Raw genomic sequence first — 21,070 nt, forward strand, 5'->3', positions numbered from 1 at the left:
TACTGCACCTGGCTAATTTTTAAAAAAGTTTTTGTAGAGCCAGGTCTTGCCATGTTGCCCAGGCTGGTCTCAAATACCTGGACTCAAGCGATTGTCGAGCTTCAGCCTCCTTAAGTGCTGGGATTGCAGATGTGAGCCCCCACGCTTGGCCCCTTGCAATATTTTAAAAGAGAGTGACATAGTTATACAAACCTCTTTGTTTTTAACTTTTCTCAACATCGAAATCTGTGTTACTGTATATAAATCTACAACTGCTTCTGACTATTACAGAGTATTCCCTTGTATGCCTGAAAGTATTATATTTTGTTACATTTTCATCTGGTGATGGTCACTTAGGTTACTGCCAAATTTTTGTTCTTACAAACAGCACTGCAGTGAACAGCGCAAATATGCATTGATTTTTGGACCTGTGTAAAAATTTATCTACAACTGTTGGGTATATGCATACTTAATTTTATTATTGCCAGATCATTCTTCAGAAATACTTGCATCAGTCAATTATATTGTTTAAACAGGCAGCACCTAATGAGTACCTGAAATGACCATACTAATTCCCATATCACAAGGTTATTCTCTGGATTAAATGACTTAAGATGATAGTTTTTGGGGCTTTTTTTTTTTCCACACTAAAACAGAGACCCACAATATGTAAACAAATAAGTGGTGAGTTCTTAAGCAGTTAGAATTGTTTAATGGAAAACATCTCATTATTGAAGTTCCCCTGAAGGACTTTTTAAAGATTTCTGGGATCACACCACTGAATTAAGGTGTATAATGCCACTTTGGAGCAATGTCTAGAATGTTAAGTAGTTCCTTAAGTTTGGTTTTGTTTCTTGTAATACCATTTTATGAAGTCTAAGCATGTAGTGGTATTTCCAGAAGAAAACTTCAAAATGAAGATGCGTATATAGGCCCTTGCTTCCATAAGTCCTCAACCGGGATTGTCGTCTCTCTTCCTGGCATTTCTCTGAGGTAAGTATGAAGGTGATGTTGACCTTCCTGGCTTGTCTCAGTTGGCACTGGGCCTCTGAGTGTAAAGCTGAGAGTAGGCTGTGATCTCCAGTTTTACTCCTGTGCTTTTACCCCAGGACACATAGTAGTCTTTGTCTGTATCCACCTGCCCATTTTGTCTGTGGGTCATTGTGGACAGTGACTGGAAATGAGCACATATGGTATACATTCATCCTTACAGGTCATAGCTCAGGTTGTCTCTTCTATCTCTTTCCTTACATTTGTGTTCATTTCTTCTGTCCCTTTTTACCTCCACACCTCCAGTTTGAATTCTTATTTGGAATTGTCATTTATTATTTCCTCAGGTTTAATGCCTTGAATTTTTTTTTCCAGTGATCAGGAACCTCCCTATTCAATGATAACATTACACGAAATGGCAGAAACAGGTATTTTTAGTTTTGTTTTCATTACTTTATAATGAATATATAATAATGAAGAAAAGTAGCCACCTTTTGTTTTTTGTTTTGTTTTGTTTTGAGATAAAAGACTCCAAAAATACAGCATACATAACAATGAAAAAAGCCCTTACTGTATGGAAATTTCCCTGAATAGGTATAATAGGCAATGCATATTATACCTTTTTTTTTTTTTTTTTTTTTTTGGCATTGATGGATCTTTCACCATACTGTTCTGGAATGGAGAGGAGATTATTTATATATATATATATATATATATATTTTTTTTTTTTTTTGAGACAGAGTCTCACTCTGTTGCCCAGGCTGGAGTGCAGTGGCACGATCACAGCTCAACTACAGCCTCAACCTACCCTGGCCCAGGTGATCACCCCACCTCAGCTTCTCAAGTAGCTAGCACCACAGGCGCATGCCACAATACCCAGCAATTTTTCTGTTGTTTGTAGAGACAGAATTTCACCATGTTGGCCCAGCCTGGTCTTGTACTCCTGGGCTCAAGGGATCCTCCTGCCTCAGCCTCCCAAAGTGCTGGGATTACAGGTGTGAGCCACAGCCCCTGGCCAAAGATATTTTTTGTTCCTTAGTTTCCTAAGTATCATTCTGAAAACAAAGCCAACTGCTGAGTATACTTCATTTTCTCAGTTAACTCCTATGTAGTAAATAAGATGCTTAAAACTATTTTAATGTGAGAGCACAAGACCATAGCTTAACCTTTTTCCAAATAAAGGTACCCACAAATCACCAGACTCCTGTAACTTAAGATGTTTTTACTCCACCACGATGACTAGCAATTGATGATTATGTCCATGCCAAATATTAGCTGCTAAAAATCTATAGACCAAAAGTCTTTCTTTTAATGTGAATTGATCTCGTGTGACATATTTTCACATTTTAAAAATAGTGACTCCATCATATAATCTTCTTGATTTGCTCTTAGATGAAGGATGGTTGGATGTTGTCCAGTCTTTAATTAGAGTTATTCCACTGGAAGATCCACTGGGACCAGCTGTTATAACATTGTTACTAGATGAATGTCCATTGCCCACTAAAGTAAGTTAATACTTATCTTTTATGAAACTATCATTTGTGCTTAAGCACAAGATAAATGACCACAAAGAACATTTGATGTATTGTGTTTCATCTTTATACATTTGGGGTCTGTTTTATTCAGTATTGATTTTGTTATGTAAATTTATTTTGTATTATGAAGAATTATGTCCTCTTTTTTTTTCTTTTCCTCTTTGAGACAAGAGTCTCACTCTGTTGCCCAGGCTGGAGTGCAATGATGTGATCTTGGCTCACTGCAACCTCCGCCTCCCGGGTCCAAGCGATTCTCCTGCCTCAGCCTCCCAAGTAGCTGGGATTACAGGCACCCGCCACCACACCTGGCTGATTTTTGGATTTTTAGTAGAAACGGGATTTCACCATGTTGGCCAGGCTGGTCTTGAACTCCTGACCTCAGGTGATCCACCTGCCTCGGCCTCCTCCCAAAGTGCTGGGACTACAGGCATGAGCCACTGCACCCAGCCCTCTGTCTTTTTATTTATTTATTTTGAAACAGGGTCTCACTTTGTCACCCAGGCTGGCGTGCAGTAGAGCAATCACAGCTCACTGCAGCTGCAACCTCCCTAGGCTCAGGTGATCCTCCCACCTCAGCCTCCCATGTAGCTGGGACCATAGGTGCATGACCCCATGTCTGGCTAATTTTGTATTTTTTTTTAGAGATGGGGTTTCATCATGTTGCCCAGGCTGGTCTTGAAACTCCTGGGCTCAAGCAGTCAGCCCACCTCAGCCTCCCGAAGTGCTGGCATTGTAGGCGTTAGCCACTGTGCCCCGCCACATTCTCTATCAAGGCTTTATTTAATTGCTTTTTTTTCTTCTTTCTTTCTTTCCCTCCCTCCCTCCCTCCCTTCCTCCCTTCCTCCCTTCCTTCCTTCTTTCCTTCCCTTTCCTTCTTGCCTCCCTTCCTTCCCCGGCCCCGCCTAGGCTAGAGTGCAGTGGCACAGTCATGGCTCACTGTATCCTCAACCTCTCAGGTTCAAGTGATCCTCTTGCCTCAGCTTCCCATGTTGCTGGACTACAGGCATGCACCACCACACCTAGCTAAATTTTTTTTATTTTTTGTAGATAAAGGGTCTCACTATGTTGCCCAGGCTGATTTTGAACTCCTGGGCTCAAGGGATCCTCCCACCTTGGCTTCTCAAAGTGTTGGGATTATACGTGTAAGCCACTGTGCCCAGCCTAGGTTAAAATTTTTTAAATGTTAAAAATAGAAGCATTTAAGGCTGGGCGCGGTGGTTCACGCCTGTAATCCTAGCACTTTGGGAGGCTGAGGTGGGTGGATCACCTGAGGTCAGGAGTTCGAGACCAGCCTGAACAGCATGGTGAAACCCCGTCTCTACTAAAATACCCCGTCTCTACTAAAAATCAGCCGGGAGTGGTGGCAGGCACCTGTAATCCCAGTACTCAGGAGGCTGAGGCACGAGAATTGTTTGAACCTGGGAGGCAATGGTTGCAGTGAGCTGAGATTGTGCTACTGCACTCCAGCCTGGGCGACAAAGCGAAACTCTGTCTCAAAAAAAAAAAAAGAAGCATTTAGGTTGGGCGCAGTGGCTCACACTTGTAATCTCAACACTTTGGGAGGCCAAAGCAGGCAGATTGTTTGAGTCCAGGAGTTCAAGACCAGCCTGGCAACATGGTGAAACCCTGTTTCTACAAAAAAATCCAAAAGTTAACAGGGTAACGTGGTGCATGCCTATAGTCCCAGCTGCTCAGGAGGCTGAGGTGGGAGGATCACTTGCAATCTGGAGGTCGAGATTGCAGTGAGACAAGATGGCGTTATTGCACTCCAGCCTGGTTAAAAAAAGAAGTATTTGTATCTCAGGTGGCGATCTTTATTCAGAAGCTAGAAGAGAATGTTGAGTTGCTTCGCTGATTTTCTTATCTTTCTCTAAGCAATTTCCTCATAACAAAAGTTTTAAGAATGTTTTTTATTAAGAGGAAAAACTGGGCTGAATGTACTGGCTCATGCCTGTGATCCCTGCACTTTGGGAGACCAAGGCAGGAGGATCAGTTAAGCTCAGGAGTTTGATACCAGCCTGAACAACATAGTGAGACCTTGTCTCTGTTAAAAAAAAAAAAAAAAAAGAAAGCCAGGCACGGTGGCTCATGCCTGTAATCCCAACACTTTGGGAGGCCAAGGCAGACAGATCACTTGAGGTCAGGAGTTCAAGACCAGCCTGGCCAACATGGTGAAACCTCATCTCTACTAAAAATACAAAAATTAGCCAGCACGATGGCGTGCACCTGTAATCCCAGCTACTTAGGAGGCTGAGGCAGGAGAATCACTTGAACTCGGAAGGTGGAGGCTGCAGTGAGCTGAGATTGCACCACTGCACTTCAGCCTGGGCGACAGAGTGAGACTCCATCTCAACAACAACAACAAAAAAAAGTTAAAACTGAAAGCACTTTTGAATCTTACTCAAATGTATTAATGATTAGTGTAACATTGGTTATCCTTTACATAGAACAAAAGCATCGAACTTTCATTGCTTTCCCATGTGTTTTACAGAGTCCTTTTTTTTTTTCTTTTTTTCTTCTTTTGGATTCTGGCATCTTTCATTTTTAAGATGGAGTCTTGCTATGTTGCCCAGACTGGTCTCAAACTCCTGGGCTCAAGCATCCTCCCACCTTGGCCTCCCAAAGTGCTGGGATTACAGGCATGAGCCACTGTGCCCAGCCTCAATTCTGGCATTTTCATTCATCTGTTTAAGCCCAGTGCAGAAAAACATTGTGGACGGAAGGGGAAAGTCTTTAGCGTAGTCACCAATGAATTGACCTTTGCCTAGGCTTATAAGAGCTGCCTGTTTCAATTTGCCTTCAACTCTGTTGGGGCAGGGTGCAGTGGTTCATGCCTATAATCCCAAAACTTTTGGGGGCTGAAGCAGGAGGATCACTTAAGGCCAGGAGTTCAAGACCAGCCTGGGCAACATAATGAGATTCCCATCTCTACAGAAAATTAAAATTATCTGGGCACTGTGACATGTGCCGGTAGTCCCAGCTACGAGGGAGGCTGAAGTGGGAGGATCACTTGAGCCCAGGAGGTAAAGGCTACAGTGAGCCATGATCACTTCACTGCACAGCAGCCTGGGAAACAGAGCAAGAGCAAAAAGAAAAGAAGAAAACTCTGCTGGGATTTGTTTTTGCTTAGTAAAACTTTTTTTAAAGTAACTTTTTACTTCAACATCACCAGCCTTTAATGTTTTCATAATGGCATCTGAGTGGGTTTAATCTGTTTAGTGATTCAAGAATATGTAGCATATATTTGATACAACTTAAGCATTCTGAATGAAGTGGAATCTAGTAAGTCATGTAAGGAGACTTTCAGGTTGATCAGATATTTCCCATCAATGATATCATTAGGGTACATTGCATAATTTTTATATGGTCATTCTGAGTTTATTTAACACCTGGTTATAGCTCCCCCCACCCCCCTGAGACGGAGCCTTGCTCTGTCGTCCAGGCTGGAGTGCAGTGGCACGATCTCGGCTCACTGCAACCTCTACCTCCCAGGTTCAAGTGATTCTCCTGCCTAAGCCTCCTGAGTAGCTGGGATTACAGGCGCGCACCACCACACCTGGCTAATTTTTGTATTCTTAGTAGAGATGGGGTTTCACCATGTTGGCCAGGCTGGTGTCGAACTCTTGACCTTGTGGTCCGCCCGCCTCGGCCTCCCAAAGTGCTGGTTATAGCTTTTGTCTCAAAAAAAAAATGAGCCTGGGAAAACAACCTGTGTAGTATATGGGTCAAACCCACTTGTACTTTTTTGTTTTAGGATGCACTCCAGAAATTGACTGAAATTCTCAATTTAAATGGAGAAGTAGCTTGCCAGGACTCAAGCCATCCTGCCAAACACAGGAACACATCTGCAGTCCTAGGCTGCTTGGCCGAGAAACTAGCAGGTAACTTTGGGACACTCCACAGTGGAAGATCTTAAGTTGTTTGACATTAAAGGGAAATTTGTACTGTATGTCTTTGATCAAACTGCTATACCAGAAAGAAATCTCTTAAAAATGATATTGAGAGACATAGACTAACTGGAAGAAAATTACTGAAAGGCTACAGAGGTGAATGCAATTTAATTTAGCTTTGTGGATTTTCAGGGGAAATTTTAAAAGAAAAAAGTTGTGCTTATTTGCTTTAAGAATAAGGAGCGAGGAAAAGAAAAAAGGGAGAAAAGCTAAATTCAGCATAACAAAGATATGTATGTGTGTATACAATATATAATTTGCATATATACACACTTTATAAAGTTTAGCTCGATTATGAAGACATACAAGGTAGAGGGAGAGGAAAAGGAACTTCTGGTTGGAGCAGTTCCTGAGAAGCAGGTATTTAATTTGTTTATGAATGTTACCCATTTTAAGAAAGTTAACAGCAAAGTACAGGGGCATAGCTCAGCTACTTACATCACGTAATGTGGAAGAAACAATGGATTAGAAATCAGAACATGTGGCTACTGGTTTGGACTCTCCCATGTGCTTGCCAAGTGCCCTGGAGTTAGTTGCTTAATTCTGTGGGCTCACTTGCTTAACTGTGAAATGGAGCTAGTACTATTTTCTACCTCAGAGCAGGAGGCTTTAATAAGATAATGTGCATGAAAGAGTTCTACCAAAACAATTTGATTGTTACCAGTGATTTAAAATAATCTGGCATTTTAATTATATCAAGTGTTTGTTGTATTTGTCTAGGTCCTGCAAGTATAGGTTTACTTAGCCCAGGAATACTGGAATACTTGCTACAGTGTCTGGTAAGTGAGACATCAAAACTATTTATTCTTAGTCATCTAGAAGTGGGCATCATCTAGAACTGTGCATTTTCTCAAATTGCTGGCATAGCCACTGGCACAGAGAATGGAATCAATTGTAAATTTTATTTGCAGGTGTTTCCCGAGTGCTTATTTATTCCCTCCTATGTTTAAAAAAGAGAGTGGGATTGGAATTTATCCCAACCAGCAAAAACAGCTGAGTTAGTCTGGTTTTAAATTTAGTCATAAGATAGCTGCTATGATTGGCTCTTTTGCATGTTCCTTGAGTTTGCCAAATGGTAATAGGGACCTCCACAGTAGAAACAATTACATGGCGTTCCAAGCCAGGAGGCCATCAAGTCAGATTCCCAGTATATATAAATCTCTACTCCTCCCTGCCCTCCCCCTCACTGCTACTCTTAAAACTGTTGTCACTGGAATATTTAATATATTGTCTATGAAGCTTCTGGTTTGCTGAGGCTGTGCCCTCAGATCTCTCATAGTTCTGGCCTGTGGTCTTGAATGGTCTGTATTTTTAAAAGTTATTTTTGTAGGCCTAGTGAGCATTGGCCCTTTTCAAAACTCTGGTCTGAAAACCCTTATTTGTCAATACCCACTGATACGTGCTTAAAACACTTACCTTACTCTCAATGAGCACTCTGGGGATACAACATGGCAGTCCTATGATTTCAAGAGGTTTATTGGTTAGTTGAGGAAACAAAACTACTCAGACAAGGTAATTAGCCTCCATTTTATCACAGGATGTGATCATGGGAGAAAGTACTTCATCAAGACTAAATGAGGGCCGGGCACGGTGGCTCATGCCTATAAGCCCGGCATTTTGGGAGGCTGAGGTGGGCTGGTCACCTGAGGTCAGGAGTTCAAGACCAGCCTGGCCAACATGGCGAAACCTGGTCCCTACTAAAAATACAAAAATTAGCTGGGCATGGTGGCATGTGTGTGTAGTCCCAGCTACTCAGGAGGCTGAGGCAGGAATTCACTTGAACCCAGAAGGCAGAGATTACAGTTAGCTGAGATCTCACCACTGCCCTCCAGCCTGGGCGACAGAGCGAGACTCCATCTCAAAAAAAAAAAAAGACTAAATGAGAAGGTGGGTGGTATGGGTAATGAGAGCCGGGGTGTCATGAAAGTCAGACTTCCTGATGAAGGTGGACCCTCAGCTGGGTCATGCTATAGATGAGGATTTTATTGTGCCCAGAGGAGGGAAAAAATTGGTTTCTTAGCTAAGGGAACATCACAGGCAGAAGTCCAGAGACAGAGAATTGTCTGATGAGAGAAGACAGTGTTCAGAGATAGGACACAGACTGAGTAGCCAGCTAGAAAGGGTTTAGGGCCTGAAAAGCCAGGCAGAGGGATTTAGATGGATATGAGAAGAAATAGAATGCTGAATAGGCTTTCCAGCAGCAGGGATGGTGGTTATGTGAGGTTTCCAGAACTTAGGAGGTACCAGGGAAGTCAGTGGGAATCATCTGATGTTCTGGAGCTCCTCTGGTGGCTCCCAATGTAGCAGTAGGGAAAGCACAGCTATGAGAAGGTGTCATGTTCAACAGATAGACCTTTCCTTAAAGGGGAACTCATGTGACATGAGCTTAAATGTAACTAAAAGAGTTCACTTGTTGCTTTCTCCTGTCTACCATCAGCATTTGTAGAATTCCTTTCAGGGAACAGCTTAAAAACTGAGCCATTAATTGTTAATTTAATTATTTATAATTTTGCAACTTGTTAGTGATAAGTGGTTCTTTTTAGGATTCTAAGTAAAATATCATTTTTAGTTTATAATTCTAGGTTTCTGTTTGGCTTGCATAAATGAATGTGAGAATGAATATTTTATTTAACAAAGCCCTAATGTAAGTTTTATTAAGTAAAATAACATAGTGTATTTAACAGGATACTTTTGAAATTTCCAAATCTATAAATTAACCTAGTGACTTTAAGAAAAAAATACAAGATTAAGAGAGCCTGTCCAGTTCATTACTAACATTATTAGCCAAATGGATAATTGAGAACTTGAATGAATGAAACTTTTCTGACCACTCGAAAAAACATCTAGCACATATTGGGCAAGGAAATGAAACTGATAACTTGCCACCTCTGCAGGGGAATGATTTTTTTTTTTTTTTTTTATCTTTTGTTGTTTTTCAGAAGTTACAGTCCCACCCCACAGTCATGCTTTTTGCACTTATCGCACTGGAAAAGTTTGCACAGACAAGTAGGTATAGTGACTTCTTGCACTAATGATCTTCTGTATTGGTTGTTAAAAATTTTATTTTTCTTAGTTACTGGATAAGCCTACACTTTGAACCCCATCAGATGGGCATACATTCTGTTTTCATCTGGATAGACACGTTAAAGCCAATGAAGTATAACAGGGACAAAGGCAAGGATTTTCTCACCTAAGAATCAAAACTTGGTAACCATGTTTACTCACTTTTTATAGCCAAAAATTTAGTGATGTGATTGCTAGTTTCTAGAAAAAAGTATGGTGGCTCTTGCCCATAATCCCAGCACTTTGGGAAGCTAAGGCCAGAGCATTGCTTCAGGCCAGGAATTCGAGACCAGGGTGGGCAGCATAGCAAGACTCAATCTCTACAAAAAATTTTAAAAAATCAGCCAGGCATGGTGGCATGCACCTATGTTCCTAGCTACTTGGGATGCTGAGGCGGGGGGATCACTTGAGCCCAGTAGTTCAAGGTTACAGTGATCCATAGTTGTGCCACTGCACTCCAGCCTAGGCAACAGAGTGAGACCCTGTGACTAAAAAAAAGGAAAACAAAATAGTCAAAGCTCTTTGGCTATGTTTTCCCTAGAAATTTTAATTGAAGTCTAATCTAGTCTCCAATTCTTTAATTGCCTCTTCCCCCTCCTTAGCAATACTAATTTGCTGAGCAAATCATTCTACCCTTTCATTGTTAATTCAAGGATTATGTCTTTCCAAACAGGTGAAAATAAATTGACTATTTCTGAATCCAGTATTAGTGACCGGCTTGTCACATTGGAGTCCTGGGCTAATGATCCTGATTATCTGAAACGTCAAGTTGGTTTCTGTGCCCAGTGGAGCTTAGACAATCTCTGTAAGTGGGAGTTGTCCTTTATTAAAATGTCCGTTTCCATTTCCAGACTCATTTCTTTCATAGGCTCACTGGTCTTCCTTTTGCAATGGTAAGTATGAGTCCTCATAAGGACCTCTACTGGCAGGTTGGATATATTCTAGCAGAAAAGTATCCTAGAGACCCTTTAGACAAGAATTACATGGTATGCTTCTAATTTCAGCATTTTCCTGTTCAAAAACCTTTACTGGCACCCAGTTTCCTGCTGCATCAAAGCCCTTAATTATATGGCACTGTCTAACCAGCTCTTTCCAACACAAATCATCCCACTGTCCTACAAACAGGTCCTGATGATTCCTACCTCTGGACCTATTCCCCTCACTTGGAATTCCCTCTTTACTTCTCTCCCTTTCCCAACTTTGCTCTTCAAAACCCAAGTCATGTCTTACCTACATCATGAGAATTGTTCCTGATTTTTCTCTTTTCCTCCTCCAAGGGCTGCTGGGACAAAAACTACTATAGGTTGAGTTTCTCTTTTAGGTAGAATTTATCTGAAATGCTTGGGACTGAAAGTATTTCAGATTTCACATTTTTTCAGATTTTGGAGTATTTGCAGATACCAGGTTAAGCATCCTTAATCAAAAAATCTGAAATCCTCCATTGAGCATTTCCTTTGAGCCTCATGTCTGCACTCAAAAAGTATTGGATTTTGGAGCATTTTGGATTTTCAGATTAAGAGTGATCAACCTGTATACTTCTGTACCCTCACTCCCCCATCCATGGTTAATACTACGCTAAAGCATAACTGGACATGTAAATCCACCCCCACTGTTACCCCAATATTGTGGGGAGGAGCTTCATGCACAGCCTGTGAAGTGCCAGTTAAAGAATAATTCTGAAAGAGTGCAATTTGGATTTTGTTCATACAAAATTATATTCTAGGGAATGGAAGCATAAATCTAGCAGTGCTGCCTTTCCTAGCATTTGTTTGATTGATCTTCAAATGGCAGTGCAGCAGGAAACCTCTGGCTATGTCTCCTCACCTATTCTGCCATTTACGAGCATCTCTACTCCTTGACTAGGGTAGCACTAACTTATTTGTTTGTTTATTTTTAATGTATGAAAAATCAGTGTGTTTTACCTTCCAGGGGGATTATTTTTAATGGATATATAGTAATACATATTTTTGGAGCACATGAGATATTTTGATACAGTCATACAATGAGTAATTACCACATCAGAGTAAATGGGATATCTGTCCCCTCAAGCATTTATCATTTATTTGTGTTAGAAACATTCCAATTATACTCTTTTGGTGTTTTAAAATTTCTTTGTTTTGCACTTTTCTTTTAGTTATTTTTAAATATACTATAAATTATTGTTGACTGTAGTCACCCTGTTATGCTGTCAAATACTAGGTGTTCTTCATTCTATCTAGCTATATTCCCATTAACCAACCCCATTTCTCCCCCACCCCCACTACCCTTCCCAGCCTCTGGTAACCATCCTTCTATTTTCTATCTTCATGAGTTCAGTTGTTTTTAGCTCCCACAAAAATTAGTGAGAACACACGAAGTTTGTCTTTCTGTGCCTGACTTATTTCACTTAACATCATATCCTACAGTTCCATCCATGTTATTGTAAATGACAGGATCTCATTCTTTTTTGTGGCTGAACAGTACTCCATTTTGTATATGTGCCACATTTTCTTTTTTTTTTTTTTTTTTTTTTTTTTTTTTTTTGAGACGGAGTCTCGCTCTGTCGCCCAGGCTGGAGTGCAGTGGCGGGATCTCGGCTCACTGCAAGCTCTGCCTCCCGGGTTCACGCCATTCTCCTGCCTCAGCCTCCCAAGTAGCTGGGACTACAGGCGCCCGCCACTACGCCCGGCTAATTTTTTTGTATTTTTAGTAGAGACGGGGTTTCACCGTTTTAGCCGGGATGGTCTCGATCTCCTGACCTCGTGATCCGCCCGCCTCGGCCTCCCAAAGTGCTGGGATTACAGGCGTGAGCCACCGCGCCCGGCCACATTTTCTTTATTCATTTGTCTCTCGATGGACACTTAGGTTGATTCCAAATCTTGGCTATTGTGAATAATGCTGCAATAAACATGCGATTGCAGATATTTCTTTGACATACTAATTTCCTTTCTTTTTGGTGTATACCTAGCAGCAGAATTGCCGGATCATATGGTAGTTCTGTTTTTAGTGTTTTGAGGAACCTCCATACTGTTCTCCATAGTGGCCATACTAATTTGCATTCCTACTACCAGTGTACAAGGGTTACCTTTTCTCCATATCCTCACCAGCATTCATTGTTGCCTGTTTTTTAGATAAATGCCATTTTTACTGGGGTGAGATGATAGCTCATTGTAGTTTTGATTTGGATTTCTCTGATGATCAATAATGTTGAGTACCTTTTCATATATCTGTTTGCCATTTGTATGTCTTCCTTTGAGAAATGTCTATTCGGATGTTTTGCCCACTTTTTAATCAGATTATTGAATGTTTTCCTATTGACTTATATGACCTCCTTATATATTCTGGTTATTAATCCTTTGTCGAATGGATAGTTTGCAAATAGTTTCTCCCATTCTGTGGGATGTCTCTTTACTTCGTTGATCATTTCCTTTGCTGTAAGAAACTTTTTAGCTTAATATGATCCCATTTGTCCATTTTTGCTTTGGTGCCTGTGCTTTTGGGGTATTCAAGAAATCTTTGCCCAGATCAGTGTCCTGGAGAGTTTCCCCAATGTTTTATTTTAGTAGCTTCATAGTTTGAGGTCTTAGATTTAAATCTTTAATCCATTTTTATTTGATTTTTGTAGGCAATGAGAGATAGGGGTCTAGTTTTATTCTTTTGCTTATGGATATGTAGTTTTTCCAGCACCATTTATTGAAGACACTGTCCTTTCCCCCAATGTATGTTCTTGGCACCTTTGTTGAAAATGAGTTCACTGTAGATGTATGGATTTCTGGATTCTCTCTTCTGTTCCATTGGTCCATGTGTCTGTTTTTATGCCAGTACCATGCAGTTTTGGTTCCTATGACTCCATAGTATAATTTGAAGTCAAGTAATGTGATTCCTCCAGTTTCGTTTTCTTGCTGAGGGTCAGGTTTTTTGCTATTCTGGGTCTTTTGTAGTTCTGTATAAATTTTAGGATTATTTTTTACTATTTCTGTGAAGAATGTCATTGGTATTTTGATAGGGATTGCATGTAATCTGTAGATTGCTTTGAGTAGTATGGACATTTTAACAATATTGAGTCTTCCAATCCATGACCATGGTATATCTTTGTGTCCTCTTTGATTTCTTGCATTAGTGTTTTATAGTTTTCATTGTAGAGATCTTTCACTTCTTTGATTAAGTTATTCCTAGGTATCTTATTTTATTTATAGCTTTTGTAAATACAATTACTTTCTTGATTTCTTCTTCAGATTGTTTGCTATTGGCATATAGAAATGCTATTGATTTTTGTCTGTTAATTTTATATCCTGCAACTTTACTGAATTTGCTTTTTAGTTCTAATAGTTTTTGGCAGATTTTTTTAGGTTTTCCTAAATATAAGATCATATTATCCACAAACATGGATAATTTGACTTCTTCCTTTCCATTTTGGATGCCCTTTATTTCTTCCTCTTGTCTGATTGCTGTAGCTGGCACTAGCTTCTTCTTTTCTCCACAGCAGCCTGCCTTAGAAACATGAACACTCTTTCTTTTGCAGTTTTAAAAGAAGGTAGACAGCTGACCTATGAGAAAGTGAACTTGAGTAGCATTAGGGCCATGCTGAATAGCAATGATGTCAGCGAGTACCTGAAGATCTCACCTCATGGCTTAGAGGTAGGTAATGCTTCTACAGTTGGACCCTTTGGGGGATGAGAGGGTAATTATTTTAATCCTTGCATAGCCAGTTGTCTTAGGGCTGGTGCTTCCCACTCTCCCTGTATTTTGGAAATGTTGCTGACTTCAGGGGGAAGTCTCAAAGAGCTGCTTATGAACAGAAGGTACCATAAGGCACTAGATGTGTCAGGATTAAAGAACTGTTTGAAGAATGGCTGCAAACAATTCTTTGATTCTGTATGTTGCCAAATGCCTTATGTAGTTTGGTTTTGTACTTTTTGTCACTGAGGATGGACAGAGGAGGAAGCAATAGTCCACCAGAAGTTTTAATAAGGAAAAATACACTCAACCTTCCCAGTAGTCAGTTATCTTTGGTGGTCTTCAGGCCCTCATAGTTGATTGACACATTTTTTGGTTTTGCCAGGCTCGCTGTGATGCCTCCTCTTTTGAAAGTGTGCGTTGCACCTTTTGTGTGGATGCCGGGGTATGGTACTATGAAGTAACAGTGGTCACTTCTGGCGTCATGCAGATTGGCTGGGCCACTCGAGACAGCAAATTCCTCAATCATGTGAGTACCCTAGAGAACTGTGAAAATGGGAGCAGTGGCAGTTTGCTTTTTCCCCCTAGTTGGTGGGTGGAAAATACTTATTTTTCAAATAGATTTGCTCAATAATCTTTTCTTGGGCAGAGCCACATGGTACCAGGTCCCTAACAATGATCTACTAAACTGATAGAGAAATAGGAAAACAAGTGAAATTGCCCCTCGGCCTTTTCTTTTTCTTGAATCTTAAGTTCACGCTAATTTTTCACCTAGAGGCTGGATGTGTCCTTTGTCTTTGTAGGCTCTGCTTCCACCCCAGCCACGTACTTGGCTCATTTCTTATACAGGAAGTAGTGCTGATTATTACCTTGAATTGAAGCTCTTAAGAGCTTTGTAGGGATTCTTTTCCTTTCAAAAAATAGAGTGTTGGCTTGACTTCTTTCACTTGACTTTTACCTAGTAATTAGTTGGCATATTTTTCTCAATATTTAGTTATTTATCTTTTGTTATAGAAAGCTATAATATAAAAGGGAAACAAATCCTAGAGTAAGTAGCATTGAAGGTGTTGGAGTTCCTCCCTTTCCTACAGATGTATGATTTCTTGCCACTTTATACCCTTCTAACACCCAGGCCAATTGGCTTTCTTCTGATGATCAAATTATAAGCTGTTTGGAATTAATCCAGTTTTGATCAGGAATATTTTGTTTTCATATGGTTTCTACCATTTGAGGTGGGAAAAGCCCCTTGGATTATTTTGTTAATCTAAATAATAGCCCCCCCCTCCAATATGTAAGATCCTGGAATGGGTTTTAGAAGTGATCCAACAAAATCAAGCTAAACTTGCCGGCCATAAGTATGGTGAGGTTTTCTGATTTTCTGCTTTGCTTTTAGAGACAGGTCTCACTGTGTTGCTCAGGCTGGCCTCAAACTCCTGGGCTCAAGCCATCCTCTTACCTCAGCCTCCTGAATAGCTGAGACTACAGGCACATCCCATGGTGACCTACTTATAAGCATAATTTTTAAAGGCCTATTTCAGCAAGGCTGTATTTCACCCTGGAATTGTTGATGGTGTATTATTAAAACTCCTAGGCTGGAGAGAGACAAATTGGAGGAAAAGGGCCAGTGGAGAGGTCAAGTCTGTACTCCTGTCTGGGGTGGAGAACTAGACCCCAGTCTGCCAATCATCTGATTCCCACAATAGCTTTTACTGTTACAATTTCCATTTCACAGATGAGAAAACTGAGACAGAGTAGGAAGAAACTCATACCAGAATTCAGTGGCCTTCCTATTCTACAACAGTTGTTTTCTTTGTATTCAAAAATGGGGAAAATCTCAGAGAATTAGCTAGTTTCCTCATTTGGAAGTGAAAAATTGTTCTAGAACTAGAAGTAATAGGGGATTCTTCCAGGGAGGAAGCTTCGATATAAAACTTGTCTCTCCTGATTTGGCAGCAAACACACTACAGATCTAGGTCTGGCACTGAATGTTACAAATGTGTTTTTTTAATGACCAGTGAAGCTGGATCATTTCATCTGCTCGATGAAATTATAACTTTTGCCATGTAGTTGCAGACCTTTGGCTTGTCAAGTTAAAGACTTAAATACTGTTTTTTTATCCTCCAGATCACTTGACAGGCTGTTGGTTTCTTTAAAAACAAACACTCTTCCCTGATCCAAGCATTAGGTGATTCCCTATTAGAAATTGATAAAGTCTGATACGATGTCTTTTCCCAAATACAGGATTTTAATGATGTTGCCATATTTAAAACTTTGCTTTAAATGTACATTGTTCTGGTGATTCTGAATCTTTTTGCCTATTCAGACAGGGTGTGATTCTATGGAGTAAGTCATTCCTAGGATACACCCAGTTTCAAAAGATTCTAAGTCTCTGCATAGTGCCTCTTACTTGAATTCTTGCTGCTTAGGTTTCCATTTTAAAAGGCTGGCCACTGGGCTCAATGTTAGGTCATTAAAATAAGCTTAAGGATAGTTCTGTTCAGGTAACCTACAGAACAGTTTGTCTTGTTGTATTGTATATTTTTATGGAGGCTTAGGAGGAGCAACTCTCCAAGGGTGTACTCTGATTTATCTAAAATATCTTTTGCCTTTTGGCCAGGCGCAGTGGCTCACACCTGTAATCCCAGCACTTTGGGAGGCTGAGGTGGGTGGATCACTTAAGGTCAGGAGTTTGACTGGCCAACATGGTGAAACCCCGTCTCTACTGAATATAAAAAATTAGCTGGGCGTGGTGGCGGGCGCCTGTAATCCCAGCTACTCGGGAGGCTGAGGCAGGAGAATTGCTGGAATATGGGAGGCAGAGGTTGCACTGAGCCCAGATAGTGCCACTGCACTCTAGCCTGGGCGATAGAGTGAGACTCTGTCTCAAAAATAAATAAATAAATAAATATCTTTTGCTTTTTTGTGAGTGTCTGTCATGTGACACTTTTGTGAGGTCTTTCACATATTTATCTTTAATCTTTTTGAGAGTTTGGAAAGGTATTATCCTGCCATTTAAAGATGAGGAAAATCAAGTTGAGAGAAATTAAGAAACTTCCCCAAAGCCATGTAGTCTCCAGCTGCTAGAGATTTCAGGCCAGGATAGCCCATGCTCCTTCCCCTGTTGAAGCATCTGCCTTCGAGAAAATGACTCTGGCTATCTCAGACAGAAAAGGAATGATTTAGAAGCCTTTCCGGAGCCTCCAGATTATGGAGAAGTTTTGGAACTAGACAGGCTCCAAGGCTGTCAGGGCCAAGAAACAGGAAGTACAATAGCCGGTGTTTTAGGGAAACGATCTGGCCAGCATGCAGCCACCATTGCTGCTGGAAATCCATCCTAACTATCCCTCTGTTTGGGGTCACTTGCACCATACTGAGTGTTTGATGGGAAGGTCCAGCTGGCCAAGCCTAGGTCATATCTTACCTTTCCACTTCCAAAGGAGGAGGCAGAACACTGTCTTCATACATTTCCCTTAACAGGAAACGGTTGGGATGCCCTACAGCAGGAAAAAGGAGAGTGTCCACCACGTGGGAAAGAGACTCAAACTATTCCCTGAATGACAAGCTGTGGATAAACTTTCTTTTGTTTGTATTTGGTAATGTTTCCATTGCTAAAATATGCATGACCAAAAAACAGGTAGTTCAAGATAAATACCAAGCTAACCACTCTATTCTCTCATTTATCTGTCCTAGCCAATGGAAACCAAAATTAATCCTGCTGGGAACATTTTGAGCTGAGAGAGGGTGTAGGACATCTAGGTTGTTCTCTGAGATGTAAGCTTAAGAGATTTTTAAAGTGCATCTCTGCTAGGCAGAGGCATCTTCTCCTTAAATCTGTAGATGCTGCTCTGTAGTTAAAGTTATTAGAGTTCCTTCTTTGTGCTACAGTGCCACTCTGTTGTGGAACTTATCCAGTCATCAAAGACATTGCATGGTAAAGAATGTGTAATGAGTCTGCTCTTTACCAACTCATGGTGGCTAGCTTCTAGGAATTTCTTTCAAGTGTTCTGTCAAGGACTTCTCAGGACATTAGAAGGTGAAGATAGAAAAGAATTGCTTGCCTTTTACTTATGCCACAATGCCTACATTTTAGTGGTTTTTAAGTTTTTTACTTACTGACTTGTTCAGCGTTTGAAAGGTGTGGCAAGGCATTCTTTCTAGCAAGTAGTGAATTTCTTTTGTTTTGTTTTGTTTTGAGACAGTCTCGCTCTGTCACCCAGGCCAGGGTGCAGTGGCACGTGATCTCTGCTCACTGCAACCTCTGCCTCCCAGGTTCAGGCGATTCTTGTGCCTCAGCCACCAGAGTAACTGGGATTATAGGTGTGCGCCACCACACCTGGATAATTTTTGTATTTTTAGTAGAGACAGGGTTTCGCCATGTTGGCCAGGCTGGTCTCAAATGCCTGGCCTCAAGTGATCTGCCCCCCAAAGTGCTGAAATTACAGGCATGAGCCACTGCTCTTGGCAGCCTTGGGTGGTGAATTTCTAAGGCAATTAGATGCAAGCTCATTTAACTCTTGAGTAGTCTGAATAGTGAATATCAATAGCTATTTCAGAAGAGTCACTTTGGAGAGCGTTCCTCCAAATTCAGTATGTTGTAATCCAAAAATCCAGTACAAAATCATTGTTGCATTCATCAGAACTTTTTTTCCAATCTCTCTCCTCACTGTATTGTTTGCCCCATAGAAGAAGCAGGCCATCAGGACCTGATCTTACTTGGATTTGGCCATTTTCAATTTCTTTCTCTAGTAAAACTTTTCACCATTGTTCCTTAAAGATAGCAGTTGTCTGATTTGCATGCTGCTTCTATTTTTTATAAGCACTCAAAATAATTTCTTAAGATCTCAGCCACCCTTTTATTTTAACAGTTCTGTGAAATAATTGAAAGGCAGTAAGTAACAAAAAGAAGAAACTGCCAGGCGCGGTGGCTCACGCCTGTAATCCCAGCACTTTGGGAGGCCGAGGCGGGCAGATCACCTGAGGTCTAGAGTTCGAGACCAGCCTGACCAACATGGAGAAACCCCGTCCCTACTAAAAATACAAAATTAGCTGGGCCTGGTGGCGCATGCCTATAATCCCAGCTACTCAGGAGGCTGAGGCAGGAGAATCGCTTAAACCCGGGAGGCAGAGGTTGTGGTGAGCCAAGATCGCGCCATTGCACTCCAGCCTAGGCAACAAGAGTGAAACTCCATCTCAAAGAAAAAAAAAGAAGAAACTGCCAAGGACCTGTACAATCCTCAAATCAAGCTGATTTCAGAATAGCTTTTAGCTGAGTGTCCACTATAACCTTTCTCTTATCTCCAGTTTTGAAATCTCTGAATATTTGGGTATTTTGAAGTCTGCTACATGCAAGAAAGGTATTTGCCTGATCTGATCTTGTTACTGGAAAGGGTCTGGATCCAGATCCCAAGAGAGGGTTTTTGGACCTCGCGCAAGAAAGAATTTGGGGCGAATCCATAGAATAAAGTGTTTTCACAAGTTTATTAAAGAAACAGAAGAATGGCTACTCTATAGGCAGAGCAGTGGCGTGGGCTGCTCAACTGAGTATACTTAGTTATTTCTCGATTATATGCTAAACAGGGATGGATTATTCATGAGTTTTCTGGGAAAGGGACAGGCAATTCCTGGAACCAAGGGTTCCTCTCCTTTTTAGACTATATAGGGTAACTTCCAAACTGCCATGACATTGTAAAGTGTCATGGCACCTGTTAGAGTGTCTTTTAGCATGCTAATGCATTATAATTAGCATATAATGAACAGTGAAGATGACCAGAGGTCACTTTTGTTGCCATCTTGGTTTTGGTGGGTTTTGGCCAGCTTCTGGCTGGCTTCTTTATTGCATCCTGTTTTATCAGCAGGGTCTTTGTGACCTGTATCTTGTGCTGACCTCCTGTCTCATCCTGTGACTAAGAATGCCTAACCTCTTGGGAATGCAGCTGAGCAGCCCAGCAAGTCTAAGCCTCATTTTACCCTGCCCCTATTCAAGATGGAGTCTCTCTGGTTTGAATGCCTCTGACAATCTTGTGCTGATATACAAGTGTACTGACTGATCTTGGAATCAGAAGAATTTAGGTTCAAACCTGGCTCTGTTTCTTGGGCAAGTAATATATGCTTGGGCAAGCTGGTTGACCTCTTTGAGCCTTTGTTTCCTCTTAAAATGGAGTCTGATGCCACCAGCCTCATGATAATGTTAGTGAGAATTAAATGAACTAACAAATGTGAAAGTGCCTGAACAAAGGAGGCACTGGGAAAATATTTGTTGGTGAAGTCATTATCTATTCACTTGGAACCAGCCCTCTAAGTCATAATTTTAGTATTTTCAAAAAACCATGAGCTCTCTCATCATCCAGAAAGCTTAGAATCCCAGCCATTAGGTCAGTGGTCGTAAAAGACACACTCTCTGTTCCCAGGTCAGAGCAGGCAGACTTGCTAATCTTCTGGGCCTTGTCTCTCTCCAGGAAGGCTACGGCATTGGGGATGATGAATACTCCTGTGCGTATGATGGCTGCCGGCAGCTGATTTGGTACAATGCCAGAAGTAAGCCTCACATACACCCATGCTGGAAAGAAGGTATTCATTCCCTCCATTATAAATTTATCAAGTGGGTTAAGACATCTGGTTATTATGAGGCATTTATTACATTAAGCCTTAAAATGTCTTAGGAGAAGATCAAATGTGAAAAGGGATATTAACTTTTGTGTCACTGCCAAGGATATAAATGGTATTCCTCTGATAAATTTACCTCTGGTGGAGTTCTTCCTGTAGCAAAAACATTTCAGAAAATAAATTTTTTACATTTGTCAGAAAATGATACTCAAGATTAGTATGAATTCTATTTTCCTCTTTGGATCTGTTTTGAATTAAAGCAGCCATGGCAATATCAGGGACACTGGAATTGTA

General features: G+C 40.9%; 1 protein-coding gene across 15 annotated transcripts in view, besides 1 other annotated feature; it reads left to right on the plus strand.

The window, feature by feature from the left end:
• Positions 1-21,070, plus strand: part of RSPRY1 (ring finger and SPRY domain containing 1) — a 54,318-nt gene that overhangs the window by 20,562 nt on the left and 12,686 nt on the right. For 8 of the 15 annotated variants that reach the window (XM_024450483.2, XM_047434854.1, XM_024450482.2 and 5 more), the window contains 10 exons: positions 880-972; positions 1,345-1,397; positions 2,362-2,474; positions 6,259-6,385; positions 7,175-7,233; positions 9,394-9,460; positions 10,191-10,322; positions 14,019-14,134; positions 14,559-14,702; positions 20,629-20,740. In XM_024450483.2, the coding sequence (XP_024306251.1) occupies positions 880-972; positions 1,345-1,397; positions 2,362-2,474; positions 6,259-6,385; positions 7,175-7,233; positions 9,394-9,460; positions 10,191-10,322; positions 14,019-14,134; positions 14,559-14,702; positions 20,629-20,740 (1,016 nt within the window). The remainder of the gene's footprint in view (positions 1-879; positions 973-1,344; positions 1,398-2,361; positions 2,475-6,258; positions 6,386-7,174; positions 7,234-9,393; positions 9,461-10,190; positions 10,323-14,018; positions 14,135-14,558; positions 14,703-20,628; positions 20,741-21,070) is intronic. The other 7 variants (XM_024450484.2, NM_001305163.2, XM_005256220.3 and 4 more) reach the window with 1 other exon arrangement.
• Positions 5,947-6,116: an enhancer, noted in NCBI's record as "experimental_43594 CRE fragment used in MPRA reporter constructs". NCBI's record gives its function as "activates a minimal promoter by MPRAs in K562 erythroleukemia cells, with activity observed for the introgressed 16:57246657 variant allele {active_cell/tissue: K562}" and the evidence as "EXISTENCE:reporter gene assay evidence [ECO:0000049][PMID:34662402]".

Source organism: Homo sapiens, chromosome 16, assembly GCF_000001405.40.
Source record: "Homo sapiens chromosome 16, GRCh38.p14 Primary Assembly".
Classification (NCBI taxonomy): domain Eukaryota; kingdom Metazoa; phylum Chordata; class Mammalia; order Primates; family Hominidae; genus Homo; species Homo sapiens.